This window comes from Homo sapiens, chromosome 13 (genome assembly GCF_000001405.40).
Source record: "Homo sapiens chromosome 13, GRCh38.p14 Primary Assembly".
Lineage (NCBI taxonomy): Eukaryota > Metazoa > Chordata > Mammalia > Primates > Hominidae > Homo > Homo sapiens.
In genome coordinates, this window is record NC_000013.11 from 38,879,044 (window position 1) to 38,902,227 (window position 23,184).

At 40.6% G+C, this 23,184-nt stretch overlaps 1 protein-coding gene across 1 annotated transcript in view; it reads left to right on the forward strand.

Moving 5' to 3' along the window:
• Window positions 1-8,088, forward strand: part of FREM2 (FRAS1 related extracellular matrix 2) — a 200,055-nt gene extending 191,967 nt beyond the window's left edge. The window contains exon 24 of the mRNA NM_207361.6: window positions 1,241-8,088. Within this exon, the coding sequence (NP_997244.4) occupies window positions 1,241-1,744 (504 nt within the window). The 3' untranslated portion in view covers window positions 1,745-8,088. The remainder of the gene's footprint in view (window positions 1-1,240) is intronic.

Here is a 23,184-nt window from a genome sequence, read left to right on the forward strand (position 1 = left end):
GCCTCAGATGTCTCATATGTAAATAGCAGTAATAGTAATATTGCATACAGTTAATGGGAACATTGAATAAGATATGGCAAATAAACTACATAACCCTATGCTGGGCATATGGTGAGCACTCCATAAACCCAGCGTTTATTATTTTTGTTAGCAATATATCTGGCTTTCATAGCTCTTATCACTTTTATTAATGTATTAATATTATTTTAAGACTATGTGTAATGAAGAGTCTTATTTAGCCCAGAATATAAATCTGTGTCTGACAGTTGAGTAATCTGCTTTTCTTATTCAAAACTTCCTTCCTGCTGACTTTTCACCAATATCTTAATTAGAGTGATCTTGTGTGAACTGCTGAACTCAGGAAAGCAATTGTGCACAGCTCCACTCTCAAAGATTTCAGAAACCAAGATACAAATTCCTGACTCAGGGATCAAAGGTGGAGGGAAACACAGGCAGCTGCCACAACACTGAGCAAATGCCACAAATTTCAAGAGGTGCTTACACTGCAAATCTCTGCCGAAGCAAGTGCGGCTTTTAGGATATTTACTGAAAATTAACCCGACAGGATGGCCTGGAGAAATGTGTTATTTTCATTCAACCTAAGGAAGGATCTTAAGAAAGCATGTTTGTTATTCTCAATCTTTTCAAACAAGAAGTTGAAGTATGATATGTTTTATTTTTATTTTTGCCATTAAATCTCAAAGCATCTGACCTTCCTAAATCTTGCATGCTTCAAAGACTCATCAGAAAATTCATCCTTTTCCAAAGCCCCAGAAAAGCTTGAAAATTGATTTTTTCCCCCTATGGTCTTATATGCAATAAGCAGCAAGACACAGTGAAAAGAGTCCTGGGGTTCAGAAGATTTGAGCTGTAGTCCTGCCTCTGCCACTAACTGGTTGAGTAACATTGGGCAACTCACTTAACTGCTGCATATTCTAATTTACTCATTTTTTTAGTGAATAAGCTAGACTGTATAATCTATTAATAGTTCTTTAGAACTCTCTCATTCTATGACAACAAGTATCACATATTCACTCCCTTAAGAGTTGCACAGGATATATCACAGAGTGCTTTGCACAGAGCCTTGCACCTAGTACTCATTCAAAAATATTAAGTAAGTTAATTCTGCAGACTAAAATCATTTATTAATATCTCTGCCATTAATTTCTCTTGCAAAGAGTCGTGGATTAGATTGACATGGTATCTAGTATTTCCTAATAAATAGAGTTGTGCTTTCTAGGTCGCTCTAGGCCGAGAATGGTATATACATACGATCTATACAGTGAGATCGAAAGACAATGCCAATCGAGGTATTGGCAAAAGAAGTGTGGAGTACCATTCTCTGGTGAGTCAAGGAAAGCCCCAATCCACCACCAAGAGCCGGAAGAAGAGAGAGATCAGGAGCACACCCTCACTGGCATGGGAGATTGGTGCTGAAAACAGTCGAGGAACAAACATCCAGCACATTGCCCTGGACCGCACCAAGAGGCAGATCCCCCATGGGAGAGCACCTCCAGATGGCATCCTCCCCTGGGAGCTCAACAGCCCCAGCTCTGCAGTCAGCCTGGTCACTGTGGTGGGAGGCACCACGGTAGGGTTACTCACCATCTGCCTCACTGTCATTGCAGTGCTGATGTGCAGGGGCAAGGAAAGTTTCAGGGGGAAGGATGCCCCGAAAGGCTCCAGCAGCAGTGAGCCCATGGTGCCCCCACAGAGCCATCACAATGACAGCTCAGAAGTTTGATGACTGCAGGTAGAATTCAACCTTTTCCGTAAGTGCCTCGGAAAAGATCACAATGGAACCTTAAATACTTCTGGTAAACCATAGAGAATGGAGGATGGCTGTGATGAAGCTGCTTAGAGAATATGACTGTACTAATGGAGTTTGATTTGAATTCTCCATACTCTTTTTTGCATCAAAGGACAAATTAAGGCATCTTTCCTCTTGCCCCAAAGGCAGCAACAACGTACTCATATGTACACAGAGCCATGATGTGAGGAATGTACTCCTCATTTTAGACATATTCTCTATGCAGTGGAGATAAATCTATTAAAAGGTGCTAACAGACTCTCTTACAAGTGTAAGAGGAATCTACTGTTGCTATGTTAGTGTGAATGTTGAAGGTGCAATTATCACATTGTTTATTAATTGTATAACAGATTATTACTAGAAAGGTTTTTGTTGCTAGTCTGGAAAACTGGTGAACACACTGTTTATTATGACAAGTTTTCAAATAGGTGAAGACAGCATAGAATTATGACCAGGGTGGCTCAACCCACAAATCAACTGATCTACTACTTGGGAGACAGTGGAAGGAAAGATAGAGGGAAGGAAGTTCACTCACTTGAATTTGAATTGCTTCTCATTCTCATCAGACTCTCCTTGTTTTGTTTGCATATTTAATTTTAAATTAAACCAAAGAATATGTTAATTCTGAAAGAGATTTTTAAGAGATGCTGCTCTGTTTTGGCATATAGTGAGTAATGGTAGAGCTCTTGCATGGTAATATACCTTATTGGTGCTCAACATTTGTGGGAAATTAGAGGGTTGGTGAGATTTTGGTGATGAATAAATGCCATAGAGTTAGAGTCACTACAAGACAATGTTCTCTAAGAACTGAGCCTAGATGTTTGCAGTATTGAACCCATAAATGATAATAAGAAACATTGTTACAGATGGTGAAGGGAGAAAGTGGTATTTATTAATATAATGTGTATAATCAGAGTGCCTCTTATACATACTTTATAGAATAAAGGAACATTTTGACAGATGAGGTTATCCCTCGGAGTAGCGTAATCACACAATAACATTTAGAACTTAAATTGGCTACAGGACATTTTATTAGCTTTCTATCCAGCATCTGGTCCAAACGATGGGACTCTCTGCAACTATCATTCCAGAAATGGTCTTGGAGGTGGCCAGAATCATTGACCATATTTTTATTTGGTTCAAGAAGACATCGCTCTGGCATCCCCAGTTCAGTGAACTGGTACAATGTGGTCCCTCTCAATATTTAAAAATATAATTTGTAACAGTGCTTACCATTCACCTCCCAAAGCCAAGGAACTTGAGTGAGCTTCCTTGGCAAGCCTCCCATTGCCTTTCTGCATCAATGTGTTTGTTACCAAATAGCAGAAATTTCGCTTAGAAGGGGAAAACTTCAGCTTTCCAAAAGCTAGTAAACATGTTTCAAAGAAAAATAAGGTCAGGAGAAAAAGAATAATGCCTACAGATTATCCTTCAGATGCTGGCTAGAATCCCCTTTGACTTCTAGCCATAAGCTGGCCACATTGGACATCTTGGTCACTGCAGAATTTTAAAAGGCAAACTTCTCAGAACAGATGTGCACATCTTAATTTGGTGTCTGTAAGTATCAACCATTTCTTGATCAAGATAAGGAAGCAACACTGATACTGAGAGAGAGGTCATATGTCCAATAGTTGCCTTTCTTCTCTTAGGCAGCTCTGCACTTCATGTTCAGTTTTTTAAAAATAGACTGTAGTATCCTTTCATTGGAGAATTTACAAAAATATCATCTACAGCTCAAAAGTCCCACTAACGGCTTATATGAACAGAAAGTACTGTGTAGCCCAGGAGTTTATTTAGCAAGATAAATAGTGGTAATTTCTTAATCATTCCCCTTTCCTTTGCTTTACCTTCTGGCAGATGCTTAGCTACTTCTTTGGCTACCTCATAATTTGTATGGGAATGAACATGAATTAGGGAACTTCAAATAGTGCGTAGACTTTTCCCTACTTACCATTGGGTTCAATTGATGTAGACTGTTAGAGCAAGTATACTCAATCAACTTGCTGATATTTTAGTAGTTAACAGCTTCCGAGCCTATCATGCAATTTGGAGTCTGTCAATGAATATAGCAATCGGTGAAGCATTACTGTACGAAGTCTGTTTTCAGGCTTTGGGTCAAGCTGGTTTTATACCAAATTTCACTCTACAATGCATATTCTAATGAAGCTACTTTATATAAATTGGAGAGCTTATAAAATGCAGAACATTTCTATCCTATCCTACCAAATATTTATCCTTCTCTGTCCTCTATTCTCTTACTCTCCTCTCTCCCTTTTTCCTTCCCTTTATTCCCTTGAAAAAAGAGAATCTGTGGGAAATAGGCAGATATAGCTTTTTAAAATATAAAGTACTTGGGATTTTGCATTATTTTTCTTAATATCTATTTACTAAGTATGTAATTTAATATACATTAATTATTTTTTGAAACTCTTGTTAGTGGGAAGAATATGGTAAATTTTTTGTTAAATAAAATAGACCCTTATGTTTAGCATTTTGTTTTTAGAGAACTATTCTGGTACTATCAGAACAAATACATAAAATAACTTCCCATAGAGAACAGGATATAGCAATAATAGCTCCTTAGATACTCAGTGGCTTCTGACTCCAATCAAGGTCTTGTTGATATTATATAGTAAAAATAAAACCAAAAATAAATATTATTCAAGTGGCTCTTCTAAGCATGTGAATCATGAAGCACTGAAATATGTATTTTAATGATGATCTTATTTATTCCCATTTTTGCCCTTAGTTAACATTTACTGGTGCTCACCTAGGATTGGCTATTCTGAGGGATTGCATAGAAACCAAGCTCCACTTGCTGTCCTTGGGAAGGTTATAACTGAATGCAGCTCTTTATTTGGACTAAAGTGTCAGGATATGCATTAGATTCTCTCCTGAACCAAAAACACAACAGTCATTATCTGTGAACCATAATTTAAAAATCTTTCTAGAATAACAACAGCAGACTCCACTCTTGTTTGTCTAAAAGAGCCCTACTGGGTATGGATCATTCTGATGACAGATTTATACAAAATGATTCAAACCAGTAACTTAGTAAAATTGACCTTCGCAAAACCTCACTGGGGGAGTGCCTTGTAGAGCTGTGGGTGGGACTGCACATTCTTTTCCTCTTAGTAAAAGATAGGCCCACTTTATTCCAAGAATAACACTTAGCACATAAACTCTTCTTCCAGCTCGTTAGCAGCATTAGCACCTTCTGAATTCCACCCTCTCAGAAGAATCCACAGTGTTTGAACAATTTGCATAAAGGTCAGCTAGCATCCTGCTGCCAAGCCACTGCATAGCATTTGTGATAAGAAGGACCAACTCTAGGCTCAATATGAAGGGATTTAGTTCTGTAAGCAGCAAAAAAGCTTCTTTATCAAGTCATCTTACCTCTAATTCTTTTCCAGTGTGCCAACTCCAAAGTCAACATTAAAAATGTAAATGGACCTGTGTAAATATCACAGAGAGCTTTTCCTTATACATCTCAATGCTGAGAGTTAAAATATTCCCAGGTTAAAATTTTTTTAAAGTACCAATAATAGAGCTAAATACAATGACATTTGCTTTTAAAAGGTGGATATTTTATTTCTGCTTTTTGAAAATACTTATTTAGTATTGACTTGGAAGCCAATTTGGTCCTTTAATAAGTAAAGAAAATAATATGTTTAAAAATGTAAATGTTTTACAAATTTGAAACTTTCATAATTGTATTAATCAGAAAACAAGCACATTGCCATTCTTTGAAACTCATGTTTCTAGACATGACAGCAGTAATAAAAGGATGAAAACAAGTGTCTTCACTAAGCGTATGGCCAATAAATGGGACCCAAACGTTCAATCTGTTCAGTTTACCAAGGTTCAGAAATACGTAATTTAGCAGGAAACTATAAATACCAGTGCTATCACAGCCACACATACACACACACAGACATAAAATAACCAAACATCTCATTTCTAGGAAAGAGATAACACTAAAGGCATCATAGGTTTAACTGAAATACGTTATATGAAGTTTTACAAAAAGGTCAACAGAAAGCTCATTTGTGAAAACATACTCTCATGGGAGCTTCTTTAACATTAGTTCAGAGGTTAATATATTTCCTGGAGGTGTTTTCCTAGAATTGATTGCACTATTGCATGGTAATAACATTTAATTGTTAAGGAAACATTATATATAGGTTCAAATTATCCCTTAATGTTGATTTCTCCCCTTTTCCATGGATTTTGATACTAAGAAACAAAATGCTTTGAGATTTTGGTAACTATTTTGATTTTGATAAAACATGTTAAAATAGAAGGACATGATATTTTTCTATAGTTTCCATCAGGAAGAGTACATCAGAAACTTCTCCATAAGGAAAGAAAACTGACTCTCTCTTGAACTAGTGTTGACAAAATACACTAATGTCTTTCTTAATTTTATTTTATTAGGAGAAAAATCAGAATATTAAATTTGCAAACTTTTGAACAGCAGTAATAGCTCCTTAGACACTCAGTATCTTTCTTCCCTATCTTTCAAGCACATTTAATTTCTTTCCCCTGGTATTTGTTTGCTTTGTGTTTTTTCAATATTTTGTTTGCTAAAGAACAATAACAACAACAAAGCTGGTCCAGCCCTGACACCTACTTTTGCTTTTTTTCTTTCTTTCTTTTAATTTGTTGAACTATAGGTTTCTTTCTGAGATGTATTTTTCATTCTTCCAATAATGCTCTCTTTTTCATTTCAAAACCATTACCACTTTCAATATGTAATTAACATCCTCATTCATCAGAAAGCTGGTAAGTCCACACAGCATTTGTGCAGTATCCCTTCTGTGTAAAATGTTAAGGCTTTCAGATGAAAGAAAAAAGAACTTCCTGCAAAAGATCAAAAGCATCATACTAAATAAAATGATGACAATATGTGCCTTGATTTTTCTCTCAATGGAGGTTCAACATTGACATTTAAGATGTAAAAAAAATTACTTTGATGGTTTAATTAAGAATAATAAGTCAAATATCACATGTATGTAGTTCTTTTGGATGACCGAATACCTTAAAATGAACTAAATAACTGAAATAAAGTGTTAAAATGTTAACAGCGTTGAAGTTTTTAAAATTATAATTATCAAATGCACAATGTTCTTTTACTATGCCAAATGTTGCCTACACTGATTACATGATTGTCACAGTTTAAGTGAATTTCTACTATGGATCTTTATTTTCCCCAATGTTTGGATCATCCTCTCAGATAAGAATTGTCAGTATTGCACCTCAAGAAAGAAGAAAAAATAAGAATGTAAATTTTTAAAAGCTAGCATTAAAAGTAAAGAGCAGTACAATAAAAATCACTTAAAATAGAGAAAGGCAACTACTGAGTAAGAAGAAAAGATAATTTCTGTAAAAGCTAAATTTATGCACATTACAAAAAGTAGTCAAGTCAGTCTTCCATTGTGACTTCAGGAATTCAAATGCAAGTTGTTGGCAAAATATATATATACACACACACACACATACACACACATATATGTACATACATATATATATAGAGAGAGAGAGATAGATTTTTTTTTTTTGAGACAGAGTTTCGCTCTTGTTGCCCAGGCTGGAGTGCAATGGAATGATCTTGGCTCACCGCAACCTCCGCCTCCAGGGTTCAAGTGATTCTCCTGCCTCAACCTCCTGAGTAGCTGGAATTACAGGTGCCCACTACCATGCCTGGCTAGTTTTTGTATTTTTAGTAGAGACAGGGTTTCTCCATGTTGGTCAGGCTGATCTCGAACTCCCAACCTCAGATGATCCTCCCGCCTCCACCTCCCAAAGTACTGGAATTACAATGGCGTGAGCCACCACAAGATATTTTTAAAGCCCATTTGTCTATAAAAGAAAACTCTTGGACAAGGAGCTTTGTGTTTTATAATTGTATTACGTGCCTGCTTCCTTACCAAGTGCCCTCCATAACACTAAGTAAATTTATATTTATCTAGCCTCTGAGTGACATATCTGTGTGTAATGGAATTATTTGCAGAATTTAATAGCCTTTTTTATTTTCGCATGAGAATTTTTCAAAAACTATCAGGGTCTAGTTTTATCATACATTTACTAAGTTACTACATATTGGTGGATATTGACGTTTATTCCTGGGAATCTAATTTTGCAAACAATTTGGAGCCATTCAGTCATAAATTCATGTCAACAATAAGTCTTGCTGCCGCTTGTGTTTCATAACTACGCTTGCTTTCCTTCAAAATATACCAAGTGTGTAATATAAATAAAGCCCATATCAATATAAATGTTCAAATGGCCAAGTTATTCTGGTGCATTCTGTAACTTAATTTTTTATGCTAAAATCACAGATTCCCATAGGCTACAATGAATGTCAGTTATTTTCTTTCTGGTTCTGGAGCCTTAAACTTAGTTCTCTGGACTGGGACCTGTGCTTCCACTGCCACTCATACTGATGGTAAAACTTTGCCTCTCCCCAGTAGAATCCACCTGCAGGGTCCTGGCATCTGCCCACTAGTTATAAAGAGTGTAGCCAGAGGCTCATCAGAGGCAAATGTGTATTTTAAGGAAACAACATATTTGGACTAACTAATTCTTTGTCCCAGGAAGCAGTGTGACTAGACTTTGCTATAGTTAGGAACTCCTGCCCAGTGCACTGATGAGGATGAATTAACTAATCTGGTCTTTACTGCCAATGTAGTCTGGTCACCTCAGTTAATGATCAATTGATTTGTTATAAGGTCAGATTTTTAACATGAGGCCACCACTGTTTAATACCAAAAGGAAATGCAAAGACATCTTGTTTAAGACATTGAAGAATATCCCAAGAAAAGGACAAAATACAAAAAAGAAGGTGAAGTGGAAGAAAAATAATTGCTATGTCAAAGATCTTCTAGCACTTTCAAGACTGGGGAGAGAAAAACGGCTGTGTTGTAAGAGAAAGTTTGTGACCAGTAACAGAAAAGTGCAGCTCAACCAATCTTCACCATGGAAGAAAAAAACATGGGTAGACCTTTCATTGTGATGTCTAAGGCAGGAGTCATAAGGCAGGGTAAACTGGTTTAGGATTGGCTAGTTTGAATACTTCCAGCAGTCTCTAGGGCATAGGGACAGTCTCTAGTTGTCTGGTACCTAGTTCTGGGGTGTTTAGCCGGTGTGGTGAAGAAATGTCCAAGCTGCTAGGGATAGGGCCTGGCCTTCAGGAAGCCTCAGGAAGGGAACCAGAGAAGGAAAGAGTCATGATTCAGTCATGATTCAGTTATTTTTACAGACACTTGTGTGTGCATTAAAACAGGTGCTTAGTCTGTGTAGATAATTGGAAAAAAGTAGCCCCATCCCTGGAGATGAAGACCCCAGGCTCATAATTTGGTGTTTTAAAATGTAGATTGTATTATTATATAAGTACAACAATGCCAGCAGATGAGGAGAAGATCGCCATTAAAAACACAGCATGTTATACTCACAGATCGCAAGAGGAGGAGGCACACCGCACCATGGAGGGCCACATGGAGAAGCACCAGGGTTGGTCAGGAGGCAGAGGGAGCTAGGGGAAACCATGGGTAAACCTTTCATTGTGGTGTCTGAGGCAGAAGTCGTGAGGCTGGATAAACAGGTTTAGGACTGGCTAGTTTAAATAATTTCAGCAGTCCTTAGGGCATAGGGAATGTCTCTAGTTGTTTGGTACCTAGTTCTGGGGTGATTAGGGCATGTGAATAACGGCCTAGAGTGTGGGCTGTGGATGGGTTGGTTTGCATGTGAAAGTAGATGACTAACACAGGTTAGTCATCTACTGTCTCTAGGAATTGGCTAGCCCTGGGAGAGGCAGTATGTCCTGGGTCAGCAGGGCCCCAGATGTCAGAGCATCAGAAACACAGTTAATACACTTAGTAAGTGGAAGAGGACTTTTCACAGGGAATGCATGGTGTGGTAAGTCAAGCCAGTGTTGTGCTGGGATATTTTAACAATCAGCTCTTTGAAGAAAGCAGAGTCCCAAATCAGCTTTTGCTGATTTCCTAATGCAAATGCTCCTATCATCATCAATTCCAAGTTATCAATGTGCCATCAGCTAGTTGGAAAAATTCCTGAAAATTTAACAATTAACTCTTACCAGCCAAAACATGTACACTTCAGCACATCACTCAAAGTTTTTATTTCAGTCCTTATGTGCATCCTCTGTCTTGAATCTTTGTGCACTACACAAACTACAAAATCACAGGCAGAGAACACAAATTTTCTGTGAAGCAGGGGTTTATAAACCCAAAGTAATTGGTGAACAAAATATGATTACAACAGCCATCTCTAAAGACCAAAGAATTGATGTCTATGAAAGGGTAATCTTTAAAAGTTTAGCCCAATGTCTCAAATCAGGTTTCTTGGGTAAGCCCCATGTTTTAGTGTTTTAGGTGAGGGCTGTTTCTATCATCAAGAAAGGAAAATTTTGGCCAAAATTAGTGGCAGCATCTATTGTTTGAAGGGATTTAAAACTGAAATGAGAATTGATTAACAGGAGCTGAGGCTTTAAAATAGTAATGAATATTATTCCAGTATTAATACTTTCCTGAAATTATTGCAAGATTATGTGATATAAGTACAGGCAGCAAAAGAACAACACTGAGGCCAAGTTCCTTTTTAGATAGAACTGAATAAAATCTCATTAGACTTAGGAGATGTGTGGGCCTGGAGATGGTTTTGTTGTGAAAATAATTAAAATATGAACAAAAACCTACATATGAACCTGACTGATTTCAGACTCACCATATGCTCATGTCTACTGGCTCTATAATTCTTCCTCTAAAATAACCATACACAACAGAGATGGGAGAAAATTGAGGAGCAATTTGAGCTCTAGTGACATCAACCAACCCTCTAAGTAAGAGATCTCAGCACCTGCCTCACCTAATACTCTCCTGCATCTCTGGAGACTTGCTACTCCCACCACAATATAATGGCAGTGGAAGTGGAAGTCTACAGAATACCATGGCTTAGTGAGCACAGTGGTAAACAAAGGCAGCATTTCTCATACCAGAAGAATAGTTCTTGGCTGGAGCAGCCCAGGGTAGGGAGACTAGGTGAGACACTATATTCTATATTTAGAATAATTAGTAATATATTTATAGCAATCTATTCATGCTGGGAAGAGAAAATGGTCCTTTATTGGTAAATATTTTTGTGATGTCTCATTGCTAGTTGCTTTACATGTTATCTCATTGAATCTTTATGATGATCCTAAGAAGTAGCTGACAGAACAGGACCATCGCCATCTTAGACAAACACCGCCATTCTAAAGTTCCCCTCAATCAAAAACTGCCTAAATCCAAAGGGCATCAGCCTAATGGCTAAGGTCAGCATGACCATAAACCACAAATGACATCTCCGACCAGAAACACTCCAACCCTAGGATAAAACTCTCCCCTACCAGAGACATGCCAGCCCCAAGATAACTTCTCCTCTGGTTGGAAAGATGTCAGCCCCAAGATAACCGCCCCTCCAGCCAAAGACATTCCAACCCTGACATAAACTTCTCCCCCACACAGAAAACATTCCAAACCTGTGATAATCTCTCTCACCCTCAAACCAATAAATACTCTTACACTGTAAGAGAGAGTGCTCCTGACCGAAATCAGCCAGAAGCCCCTCTCATGTTTATTCTCCAGAATAAACCTGTCTTTGACTGTTGAGCCATTTTTCATGTTTCTTTCCTCTTTCTTTAACTCTTACAGTAGCTTTGTTTCTAATAGAGAGAAGAAACTTGAGATTATTTTTTGCTATTTCAATGTTTCTTTTTTCCTTTGCCAGTCCTTCAATACGTATTAAACAAATTCTATGTATTAAATTTAGGACTGACTCCATCTTCCCAATCACTGTAATTACTCTCTCTAAACTAATCCCATTATTTATTTATTGATCACCATGAATGTACAGAACTCATCCATTGTCATCCCCTAAAGTAAGTGCTGATGTGAAAACTGAAATGAAGCTGGCACAGCATTGTAGGCAGTGGGAGAGAAAGTGACATGTGTCTGGGTCCCAAGGATTGGAGATGATGAAATGATGAGGAACTCATTTGGGGTGCCACTGGAATATTGATTTGTGACTAAAGCAGAGAGATCATTGGCCATCTATAAGGGAATAAAGCTGTCCCTCATGGTTCCTCCTTTCCAAGATCATCTCTGTTTTTTCTGTTAGCGACTTCTCAGTTTCAATAAATGTCAAATCCTCCAGTGAATGGGGCCATGATAAATTTTAGTCTGTCTCCATCCACCATCATTAAACATGTTGGACTCCAGTAATCGTAAGCACAAGGAAATCATTTTTCCTCTTGACAATTATCTTTTAACATTTGAAACAATATTAATGTAACAATATTTTTATTCTAATTTTTTTCTCATATCTTGTCTCAGTATCTTCCCATGTAGAACAACTCTATATATCACAGAATTACTTTTAGGGAGCCATTAAACATGGCATATTGTGTTATTAAGTTATGTTATTTCTATTAAAATAACCAGAGTGGAGTGACATTAGTAAAAACAATGGAGTAAGAGCCTTTGAAAATTCACCTCTCAATAAAAGCAACAAAAATCTGACAAGTAATATGATAGAATCAGCTTTTTCAGAACTTTAGAAATTAACCAAAGGCTTACAGAAATCTGGATGCATGCATTCAAAAATAAATAAATAAATGAAAGGCTGGCTCTCCAGAAGAACAGCACGTTTTATTGTGTTGTAACTTGCATTCCCCTTTCCCCCAGCTCAGTGGTAGTCTTGAAAAATAACAGTATTCCTGTTACAAAATACAGTAGAATGGAGTAGAGCTTGAGTGTTTCTAAAGCCTAATTCCTAAAGAACTGGCATTAATTTGACCTGTCTGGTGCTATCCTAGGACTAGACTGGAAAGACTTCTCTTTACGTAACTTTACTTAGCGCTCATGCAGTACCAAAAACCTATACACAGAGGGATGGTGGGGAGGAAAATGAAAACAAACAAACAAGAACATGTATAGGCAAGTGTTTAAAATGTTTTATCTGCTAGATGTGATGAATAACAGTTAGATCAAACAACACATTAACCAGAAAGCTTAAAAGAAAATGCTGAAAAATGAGATGTTTATAGAGACTTTTAAAATCTCAGGCATATTCATAGGAATAAGGAAGTTCATACATATGTGTAGCACTATGCACATACACAGGAAAATACACGAGAAGGCCTTAAGCTCTTACTTCTGGCTGAGTTTGAGGCTCTATGCAGGGAACGTGAAGACTAAGATAGAGTTTTAAACTGCTTGGTTGAGTATTGAAGGCATGCTCCAACACTTGCATAATCTTTCAGCAAAGACTGACATGTTAATTGGTCTCAAGCTTAAGTAACGATCTGTACAATCACTAGCTAACAACAAAACTGAGTAAAGACTACAGTGGCTGAACAAAGACTGTGCCAGAAAAGTAACTAAACAAGCAACAATTACAACAAGCAGCAATACCTAGGATGATGATCAGAGAGATTTCTCCATGGACCATCTTTCCTGAAGACATTCTGTGTTCTCAGCTACAACTATATGAGGAAACAGACTGGTCTATTTATTTTGACCACTTCTCATTGCAAGCTGAAAGTATATTTCAAGAGCTGAAATCAGAAAAGATGAGATTATCAGAGAACCAAATGGGGGAGCCCAAGACCTTCTGTTTATAGCTAGCAGTCAATACACAACATGGGCAATTTCTTAGCCTGCTCAGCAGCAGTGAGATTGTGTTGCCCACCTGACATATACTCAAAGTGCTTCCCATCTGGTTCTTTGTATTTCCTTCAGTGACTAAGTGAGAAATTCTATGGGGGCCAGGTGGGAGGAAACCTTATTAGGAGAGGTGACAAATCTGACAAGAACATGTGCTAGAAGGCTGTCCGTTAGCTGCCTGGGGAAGAGATGAAAGAGGACCCAAAAACCGGACCAAAATTAGCTTTAAGAAGTCCTTGAGCATCTGCCATAACAGAAGGTCAAGGCCTCCAAGATGACACCTGCCACTTGACAATCCCAGACCTCAGTAGAAACCAATCCATAGGTTCTCAACTTCTTGGAGCCAGAGTGGAAGCTCAGTGTCCATCCCTGGGCCAGGAGAGACTACTCACACCCGCCTGAACTCTACTGGCCCTCTTCTGTGACTGGTTCCATTTGGTGTAATTCAAGTTGGCCAGCATCTATAGAAGGACTTCTTATGTGTTAGGTAACAGGCTAAGAGCTGGGACACAATAGCCCCTGTCCTCAATAGACTCCTAGTCTCACGGTTGCCAATCCAAGCTTGAAATCCCTTGACCATGGTATAGCCACATGTAGGGATAGGCCACGAGTGCTGCAGGAGAAGGGAAAAGAGCCTACAAGGCTGGGGGAAGTGGGGAAAAGAGCTTCATCATAGACGGTATTATAGTCACTTTCTGAATAAAAAGATTTTACAAAGAGCCAGTCTCTAGATGCTAGTTGAATTGGGATGAGTCACATGGCCTGTCCTCCCCATCATGAAGTGGTTGCACAACTGAGATGCTGCACTGCCCACATCTGTCTCCTACTTTCCCCAACCAAAAAGAATCTGAGACGTTTCAATCAATTTAGAGGTTTATTTAGCCAAGGTTAAGGACATGCCTGAAGAAAAGGGACACAAAACCACAGGAAAAATGTGTGATCTGTGCATTTTTTCCAAAGATGGTTTTGAGGGCTTCAATATTTAAAAGGGAAAAGCAGGCTTGAGGGAAAGGAGGGAAGATATGGTCACGTTACTGGATCCACATGTTGCAGGAGAAAAGAAGTAGGTGGTAGAATAGTCAATTATGTATTTGCCTCACACTCAGCAAATCGACACTTTAAGTAAGATAAAGTGAACATAGAGTAGCTCCCTGTGGAGTTATCTGGCCTTTTATCTGTCGCTATCAGCTTAGGAACCAGAGGAAAGGCAGTTTCTTGCCTAACTCAGATTCCAGCTTTTTTCCTTTGTCATGGTGAATTGGGGTGCTGAGTTTTTATTTTCCTTTCTCACCTAGTCTCATTTTCAGATGCCAACCTCTTTATTTGTCCAGCCAGAACATTCTGTCATTATTTAAATTGTGAAGGGCTCTGACAATAACTCCTGGTTCTCCTAAACCTGCCAGTGATACAGACGGGAGACAGGGAAATACTGGGTAGAAGAGGGCAGTTCCCCAGCAAAGGCCCCACCCTCAAGCCTGGAAACCACAGCCCTAAATGAGGACAGTTATCCCTTTTTCCCACCCAAAGATTATGTTTTTGGCCTGCCCTGCCCCCCTGTCCTGTGCCCACATAAACCCCAGACCTCAGCTGGCAGAGAGACAAGCAGCTGAAAGTCAAGAACGGAAGAGGCAACTGAGCATCAGAGACTATGGATAGAAGCGGCTAACTTCAGATGGCGTGACTTCAAAGAGGAACCTGGCCTGAGATGGCCAGGCTTCAGGGAAAGATCACCTTCTTTTCAGACCATCCCCTTTCCAGCTCCCCATCTGCTGAGAGCCACTTCCACCACTTAATAAAATACTCCGTATTCATCATCTTTCAAACCATTCGTGTGACCTGGTTCTTCCTGGACGCCAGACAAAAATTCAGGATGCACTTGGTGCAGGAACCCAAAAAGGCCATCACACTGACTCTTGACTGAGCTGTTTAATACTCAAGCTGTCCACAGATGGCAAAGCTAAAAGAGCTTAATTGTAACACACCCCCAAATGCTGCCCTTGGGCCAGAGCCCAAAAGCACTCGCCCTAGCTCCTGTACCCACTCACCTGCATACTCCCTCTCCCACAAGGGGTTTGAGCACACAGTGGGCAAGTAAATGAGGCACACCCCTGTCACAAGTCCTGCGAGGGGATCAAGGGAACTCTCCCATCTCATGACCACAACAGCATCAAAAAAATGTGGTGCACAAGGCTATGGCACTATCACTCACCCCTTTACCTGAGGACCTGGAGACAGTTCACAGGTTCCAGTGGCCCCTGTTCAACTCTACCTCGGCTTTCTGTCCTTCTCCTTCAGTAGACGCATTTCAATGGTGTGACATCATGATTTTCCCAGTTTTCTCAGCCCTTTTCCACTTTACGTGCAGAAGAATATCTCCCCCATGAAAAGACACTTGCTGCTTTCCCTGAAGTTGATGGGAGAGATGTTTTTCTTCTGCGAAGGTGGGGAAAGCTTAAAAAGTAAAGACTATGGAGGAAACCCAAGTAGCCCTGGGAGTGTCCTGCTCAGACACAGCTGCAAACACTGGCCTGGAAATGCTCATTCGCAGCTGAGACCAGTGGGTCTCCTTTCCTCATTTTCTACTCTCTATAAAGAAAATAGTCTCTCTGAAGGAGCAAGTAGGAACCAGCCTGTCAGAGAGTCACCATGTGCTCCAGAGGCCAACTTAGCCAAATCCAAGCTGAGAGTAGGCAGCTTGCATTTCTGACCTTTTGAGCAGGGGCCCCTGCCATCTCAGGACCTCTGCCATCTCCTGAAATAGTGCCTGAGCATGGTGAGCTGCTCCAGCCCATTTAGAAAATGGCCCAGAAGAAAGTGAAAATACAGCCTCAAGCTCCCTCTAAAATATTCCCCCTGCCCTATCACCCCTAACTTGTGCATAGTTCTGTGTCTCTTTTCTTGGCCCAAGGAATTGGAATAAGTAAAAACATTTTTAAAGGGTCTTTTTTTTTTGTCAAAAACATCACTGGCTGGAATGTGTGACAGCCTGAATGTGTTTGTACTCAGATAAAAACAAAACTCCCCTTGAAAATCCTTGAGCAAAACAAATCTCTAAGGACATAACTGCAGTGACACAAAGTCATGGATGAACTCTCACCCTCTGACAGTTTCCTTCTGTGGCATTCCTTTATCTCTGAAGCATCCTGGGCTCTGTGTCCACGTGTGCTTGCTGACATGTGGCTGGGAAGGGTCCTCTCCAAAGGTTTCCTGGTTCTATATCATGACATTCTTGAGAGGGGCTGTAAGCACCCCAACATCGTGAACTCTGATCCTATCTTTCTCCATACAGCTGCCCCCATCTCTAGGTCTGCCACAGAAATGAAAGAATGAGTGAGGAAGTGTGTAAATGAGTACCCCACAGTGGTGAGGGAGGAAGCAGAGAGGGGGGAAGATCCACACTAAGTAAGGAGAGAGGACAATCATGGTCCTGGTGGCTATGTCTGTAGAAGACGCCTCTCCTTCCCCTTCTCTGCACATTCTAGCTGTGCTTCCTCCAGGCCCAGAGAAATCACTAACTGGTGGCCTAGGTAGTTTCTTGTTATCATCTCTTCTTCATTGCTATGGCCACCAGTTTTCTTGGCCCACACCTAGGGACACACTGTGACTAGCTGTTAAACAGGGCTTTAGGATTTATCAAAAATGATCACATTTTGTGTCCCATTGCATCCTAACAGCAGTCAGCATCATGCATTCCTTAGCCCTGGTCTACCCCATGGCCACCTCCTTTACCTCCTCTTGTATTGGCTCCCCCTTCCTGGCCAGTCCTCTCTCTGTGGGGCCACTCAGGGCTGTATCTTCCCTGCCTCTTCCCTTCCCTAACCCCCACTGATTATCTGGATGTGTCCATCAAGTGTCATGGCTTTAAAGACCATACATCTGATGACTATGACATCTGTGTCCTCAGACCTGATGTCCCCCTAAATTCATATAGTCATGAGTCACTGAATGATGGGGATGCATTCTGAGAGATGTGTTGTTAGGTGACTTCATCACCGTGTGAACATGAGAGTATACTTACACAAACCCAGATGGCATAGCCTACTACACACCTGGGCTATGTGGTATGGCCTATTGCTCCTAGGCTACACACCTATACAACGTGTTACTCTACCAAATACTATATGCAAGTGGAACACAATGGTAGGCATTTGTGTATCTAAACACAGAAGAGGTACAATAGAAATATGGTAAAAGATTAAAAATGGTGCACCTGTATAGGGCACCTACCCTGAATGGAGCTTGTGGGACTGGAAGTTGTTCTTGTGAATTTTAATAATAATTATTATTATTTTAATAATAATTTAATAATAAATTAACATTAGCTTAATGTATTTTTTCTTTATGTTTCTTTTTTTGCTTTTTGACTGTATGAAATATCCTATATGTCCCTATTCTATAAGCTTTTTTCTATTTTTACATTTATTTACTTACTTATCTTCCTGTTTAAAATTTTTTTATTAAAAGCTAAGGCGCAAATACACACACTAGTCGAGGCCTACATAGGGTCAAGATCATCAATACCACTGTTTTCCACCTCCACATCTTGTCCCGCTGGAAGGTCTTCAGGGGCAATGACACCCATGGAGCTCTCATCTCCTATAACAATGCCTTCTTCTGGATACCTCCTGAAGGACCTGCCTGAGGCTATTTTACAGTTACTTTTTTTATATAAGTAAAAGCGATAGGGACAGGAGGCAGGGAAATTACGGACAGAAGAAGGTGGGTCCCCAGCAAGGGCCCCACCCTCAAGCCTAGAACCACAGCCCAAAGTCAGAACATTCATTGCTGTTTTCCTGCTCGAATATTGCCTTTTCAAAAACCACCCATGGCCTACCCTGCCCCCTGTCCTGTGCCCATAGAAACCCCAGACTCCACCAACAGAGAGGAATAGTGGAGAAGCAGCTGGATATTGGAGACCTATGGTTGGACATTAGAGAGAAGAGGCTTGACTTCAGAGGGACGGTTTGATGGCATTGCTCCAGGGGAAGATTACTTCCCCACTCCATTCCCCTTTCAGCTCCCCTTCCTGCTGAGTACCACTTTCATCAGCAATAAAACCCCCACATTTACCATCTCCAATTTGTTCACGTGACCTCATTCCTCCTGAATGCCAGACAAGAACTTGGGTATGGGTGCAAAGGGCAGTCACACTGATGCTCCACTGAGCTGTTAATACTTAAGCCATCCATGGATGACCAAGTTGAAAGAGCAGTGACTGTGACACATTTTCTGGGCCTTCAGGAGTCGTGGGCATCCCCCTAGATGCTGCCACGGGGCCACATGGAGTTTTACTCCTGCCAGCACCCAAAAGCACTCACCTCGGCTCCTGCACCCACTCGCATGTGCTCCTGCTCCTGCGAGGGGTGGAATGAAGCAGGACCAAGTGAATGGAGTCCATCCCTGCTGGCACCAACACACCTGTGCACTCTAGTTCCCACCTGCGAAGGGGTCAGGTAAAATTTCCTGCTTCAGAAGGAATACACTCTAAAATAACCATAAAAATATAGTATATTAGTTTGCAAATATTTTCTCTCATTCTGTAAGTTGTCTTTTCACTCTGATGATTGTTTCCTTTACTGTGCAGAAGCTTTTTAGGGTGATATAATCCCATTTGCTTATTTTTGGTTTTATTGTTTGTGCTTTTGAGGTCTTATTCATAAAATCTTTTCCCAGACCAATGTCCTGAAGTTTTTTCCCTATTTTTTTTTAATAACAATGCCCTCTTCTGAAATACCTCCTGAAGGACCTGCCTGAGACTGTTTTATAGTTAGCTTTTTAAATATATAAGTAGAAGGAGTACATTCTAAAAGAATAATAAAAAGTATAAGATACTAAACGCATAAACCAATAACATAGTTATTTAGTACCATTAGCAAATATTATGCACTGTGTATAACTGTATGTGCTAGACTTTTATAGGACTGGCAGCACAGTAGGTTTGTTTATACTAGCATCACCACAAATGCAAGTAAGATAAAATTATCTTATTTATGTAAGTGCCTGTCTGTTTATTGTCTGCCTTCTTGCTATTGGGACCTGAGAGTCACATGGTCAGGGGCAGTGTCTGAATGCTTAATGCCGAACCCTAGTGTCTGGAATGGCACCTGGTAAAGAGTCAATGAGCCACATATGCTTGTTAAATGAGTGAGATGATGACTGAATGGAAACGGAAGCAGCTATTTCTAGCCTCCCCTTCTTTAAGATGAGAAACCTAAAGTCTACACTGGCAGGTCACACAGCTGGGGTTTAAATCCAGAATCTCTGACTTCCAGCCTGGTGCTCACACTAGCTACACACTGCTGCTGCTTCTAATAAAAGTAGCAGCAAATGTAAATTCAGATCATGCTTTTAAGGCATTGTTATTAGTTTTTTTGATCCCCATAGTTTAGAGTAGCCAGGGGAGGATTATGATTTAATTTAAACAATAAAGTGACCTTGGCTCTCAAGCAGTTCTCATGTTACCAACACCATATTCACTTGAGGGGACAAGACCTCAGGCTTCCACAGTCTGAGAGGCCTTTCTGATTCCTCCCCAGCCTTTTGGAAGTGAGTGAAAGAGGGTCCAGAGATCAGGGAAAAATATAAATGGTTCCCGAATCTTCTCCACCCTCCTTAAACGTGAAGGGTCCTTGGGCTGATCAAGGGGCAGGGTGAGGAGCCAGTCCTTTGAAAGCTGCAGGCCATGGCTTATGAGAGGCCCCTGGTGTGGGGATAGAGTCATGGCGAGATTCAGAGCCTGGATCCCAGGCCTGTTTATAGACAGAGCAAACCTTGTCCTCTCTGGACCCTGGTTTCCCAATATCTGCATGGAGGCCTTACTCCATATTGTCATCCCAGGCTGCTGGCCTGTTCTTCTCCCTCCTACCGACCTCCCAGGCCCTCCAGGGACAGCTAAAAAACTACTCTAAACCTGAATCCAACCCCCTGGCCAAGACTGCCCTCTGCCTACCTCCCTCATGATAAAGCCTGCCCTGGCCACTGATCAGTGTGCAGACGGCAGGTAGGAAAAGAGGCTACCGAGGGCTGCAGCTTTTATTCTCTGAAATCACAGACCTGCCATGGGGGATTTTATCAGGACTCCTGCTCCCAGATCCCTCTTTTCATAGAAATAATTAATCCTCAGGATTTAAAGCCTTAAAGCCCTCTCTTCATAACCAGCTGCTCTTTGACCACCCCACCCAGACCCTGGGGAGAACGCCTTCCAGGTTCTGAACGCAGAGCAGCATGCCTGGGAGGGGCACAGCCTGCACAGAGCCCTCCCACACAGGAGATCCTATGCCATTTCCCAAGTTTGGTGAAGCCCTGTGCAGAAGGCTTTAGATGTTCTTGTAAACAGCAAATCTGTGAGCTGAGGGCTACTACCTGGTGAACAGGGAACATGCCAGTCTTCTGTTTAGTTTGGAAGGTGGAACCTAAGGGTATTTAGCACATATTCTCAGAAATAAAAAGGAAAGAAAGAAAAAATTTTCTGTAAGAATATACTATCATTTAAAATGGCAGAATAATTACTCACTGGATACTAATGATAAGAAAAGTGATATATAACTTAGGGAAATATAAAAAGATACACAATATTTTGGTTCAATAAATTTATTTCTCTGAATCTTGAACAGTTACCAATCAGATTGGGGTTTGCATAGTAGGGAAGAAAACAAATTCACATGCAGTGTTATCCTGTGGATGGAGGCCTCTTGGGAGTATATACAGACCCCTCGCGCTGAGTGATGCTAAGCTCAGACAGCATGGGGTGAGGAGCTTTATTTGAGTCTTAGTTAAATGAGAATCCCTTGGACTCAGCAAAGACCTTCCACTATGGCTGGAGCTGTCAGACGGACCCCTAGTGGCTTTCTAGGCTCACTGACTAGCAATTGCAGTCCCCATCTGACAATTCTCTTTACATCTTTGACTACCATTTGCAAAATGGAAAACTAGCTTTCTGCTCCATGAGATTTCAAACTGGAAGCAAGAAGAGATTGTCAACATTCAGCCTTGCTTTCCCCAATCCCCCCTCCCAAGTAAAACAGAGAAGAAAAGCAATGACCCCCACCCCCTCAACAGCCTAATGCAGTCAGGAGAGAGTTTTCTCTTAGAAATATAGAGACTTTTCTCCTTTATCTTTTATATAAATTAATATTATATTATTACAACAATCAAATTTCACTTTCAGAATCAAGTTTAACCTAAGGCTATTCTGAAGTTGTGCACACCCTTTCCTCAGAAGCCATCAGTAAAACTGTACCTGGCTGCATGAACATTTACCCATTTCCATTCCATCCTGCTGCTCCCGACTTATTGTGTGTCCACACATGATAGTCAGGCCCCTGGCTGTTTCGGGGGTTTTTTGTTTTGTTGCTTTTTTGAGATGGGGTCTGTGTCATCCAGGTTGGAGTACAGTGGTGCAATCTCAGCTCACTGCAACCTCTGCCCCCCAGGCTCAAGTGATCCTCCTACCTCAGACCCCTGAGTAGCTGAAATCATAGGTGTGCACAAACACACTCAATTAATTTTTAAAATTTTTTGTAGAGATAGGGCCTCCAAGGCTGGTGTCAAACTCCTGAGCTTAGGTGATCCACCCACCTTGGCCTCCCAAAGTGCTGGGATTACAGGCATGAGCCACTGCACTGGGCCTAGGCCCCTGGCTTTATCATGCCTACCCAGTTCTCTCTAAGTCCCCTGCATCTTTGTTGTGGGCCACTCATGGGGTTCTAGAGCACAAGCCTCAGGCAGGTGAGGGCAGCAGAGACTTAGAACATCCTCAGAGAGACATTATGCCTGGAAATAGATAATTTATTTTACATTCTCACAGCTTGAGGAAATTTGCTTCAGAATAAATCGTGCCTTGAGTCTTACCCAGGTCTGATTTAGATGAGACTGTGCACTTCGGACTTTTGAGTTGATTGTGAAATTAGCTAAGACTTTTGGGGCTACTGAGATGGCATGATTTTGTATGTGATAAGGCCATGAATTTTGGGGGCCAGGAGCAGAATGTTATGGTTCAAATGAGTGCCCCAAAAGTTGGAAACTTAGTTGGCATTGTCACAGCATTAAGAGGGAAAGCATTTAAGAGGTGATTAGGCCATGAGGGCACCACTCTCATCAATGGAATACTGCCATTATCATGGGAATGGGTTAGTTATCATCCGAGTGAGCTTCTCGTAAGTTTGCCCTCCCTCCTGTCTCTCTCTGTTTTATGTATGCACTTCCTTGCCATGTGATGCCTTCTGCCATGGAATGACCCTCGCCTGGTGCCATGCTCTTGGACTTTCCAGACACCAGAACCATGGGCCAAATAAACTTCTGTTCTTTATAAATTAATCGTTATGTTATTCTATTGTAGCATTAGAAAAAAGTCTAGAACAATGACCCAAAATTACATATCTATATCCATGTAATGTTTTTCTCTTTGACGAATAGAAAACTATATTATTTTAGTATATTTGTAAAAGACCCAAGTACAATTTCTATAAATAAAAAAAAAACAACACCATTACTAAGATGGCTGGCCCAGGAAATTGGACACTGTGTAAAGGCAATAAGGGCCCACCAGCTGGACAGGACAGAGGCATGGGCTGAGACAGCAGTGGCTCCCAAGCCCCAGTTCTGTGCTGCTGTCTAGAGGGTGCTGGGGGCTCTGGGAAAACAAATCCAACC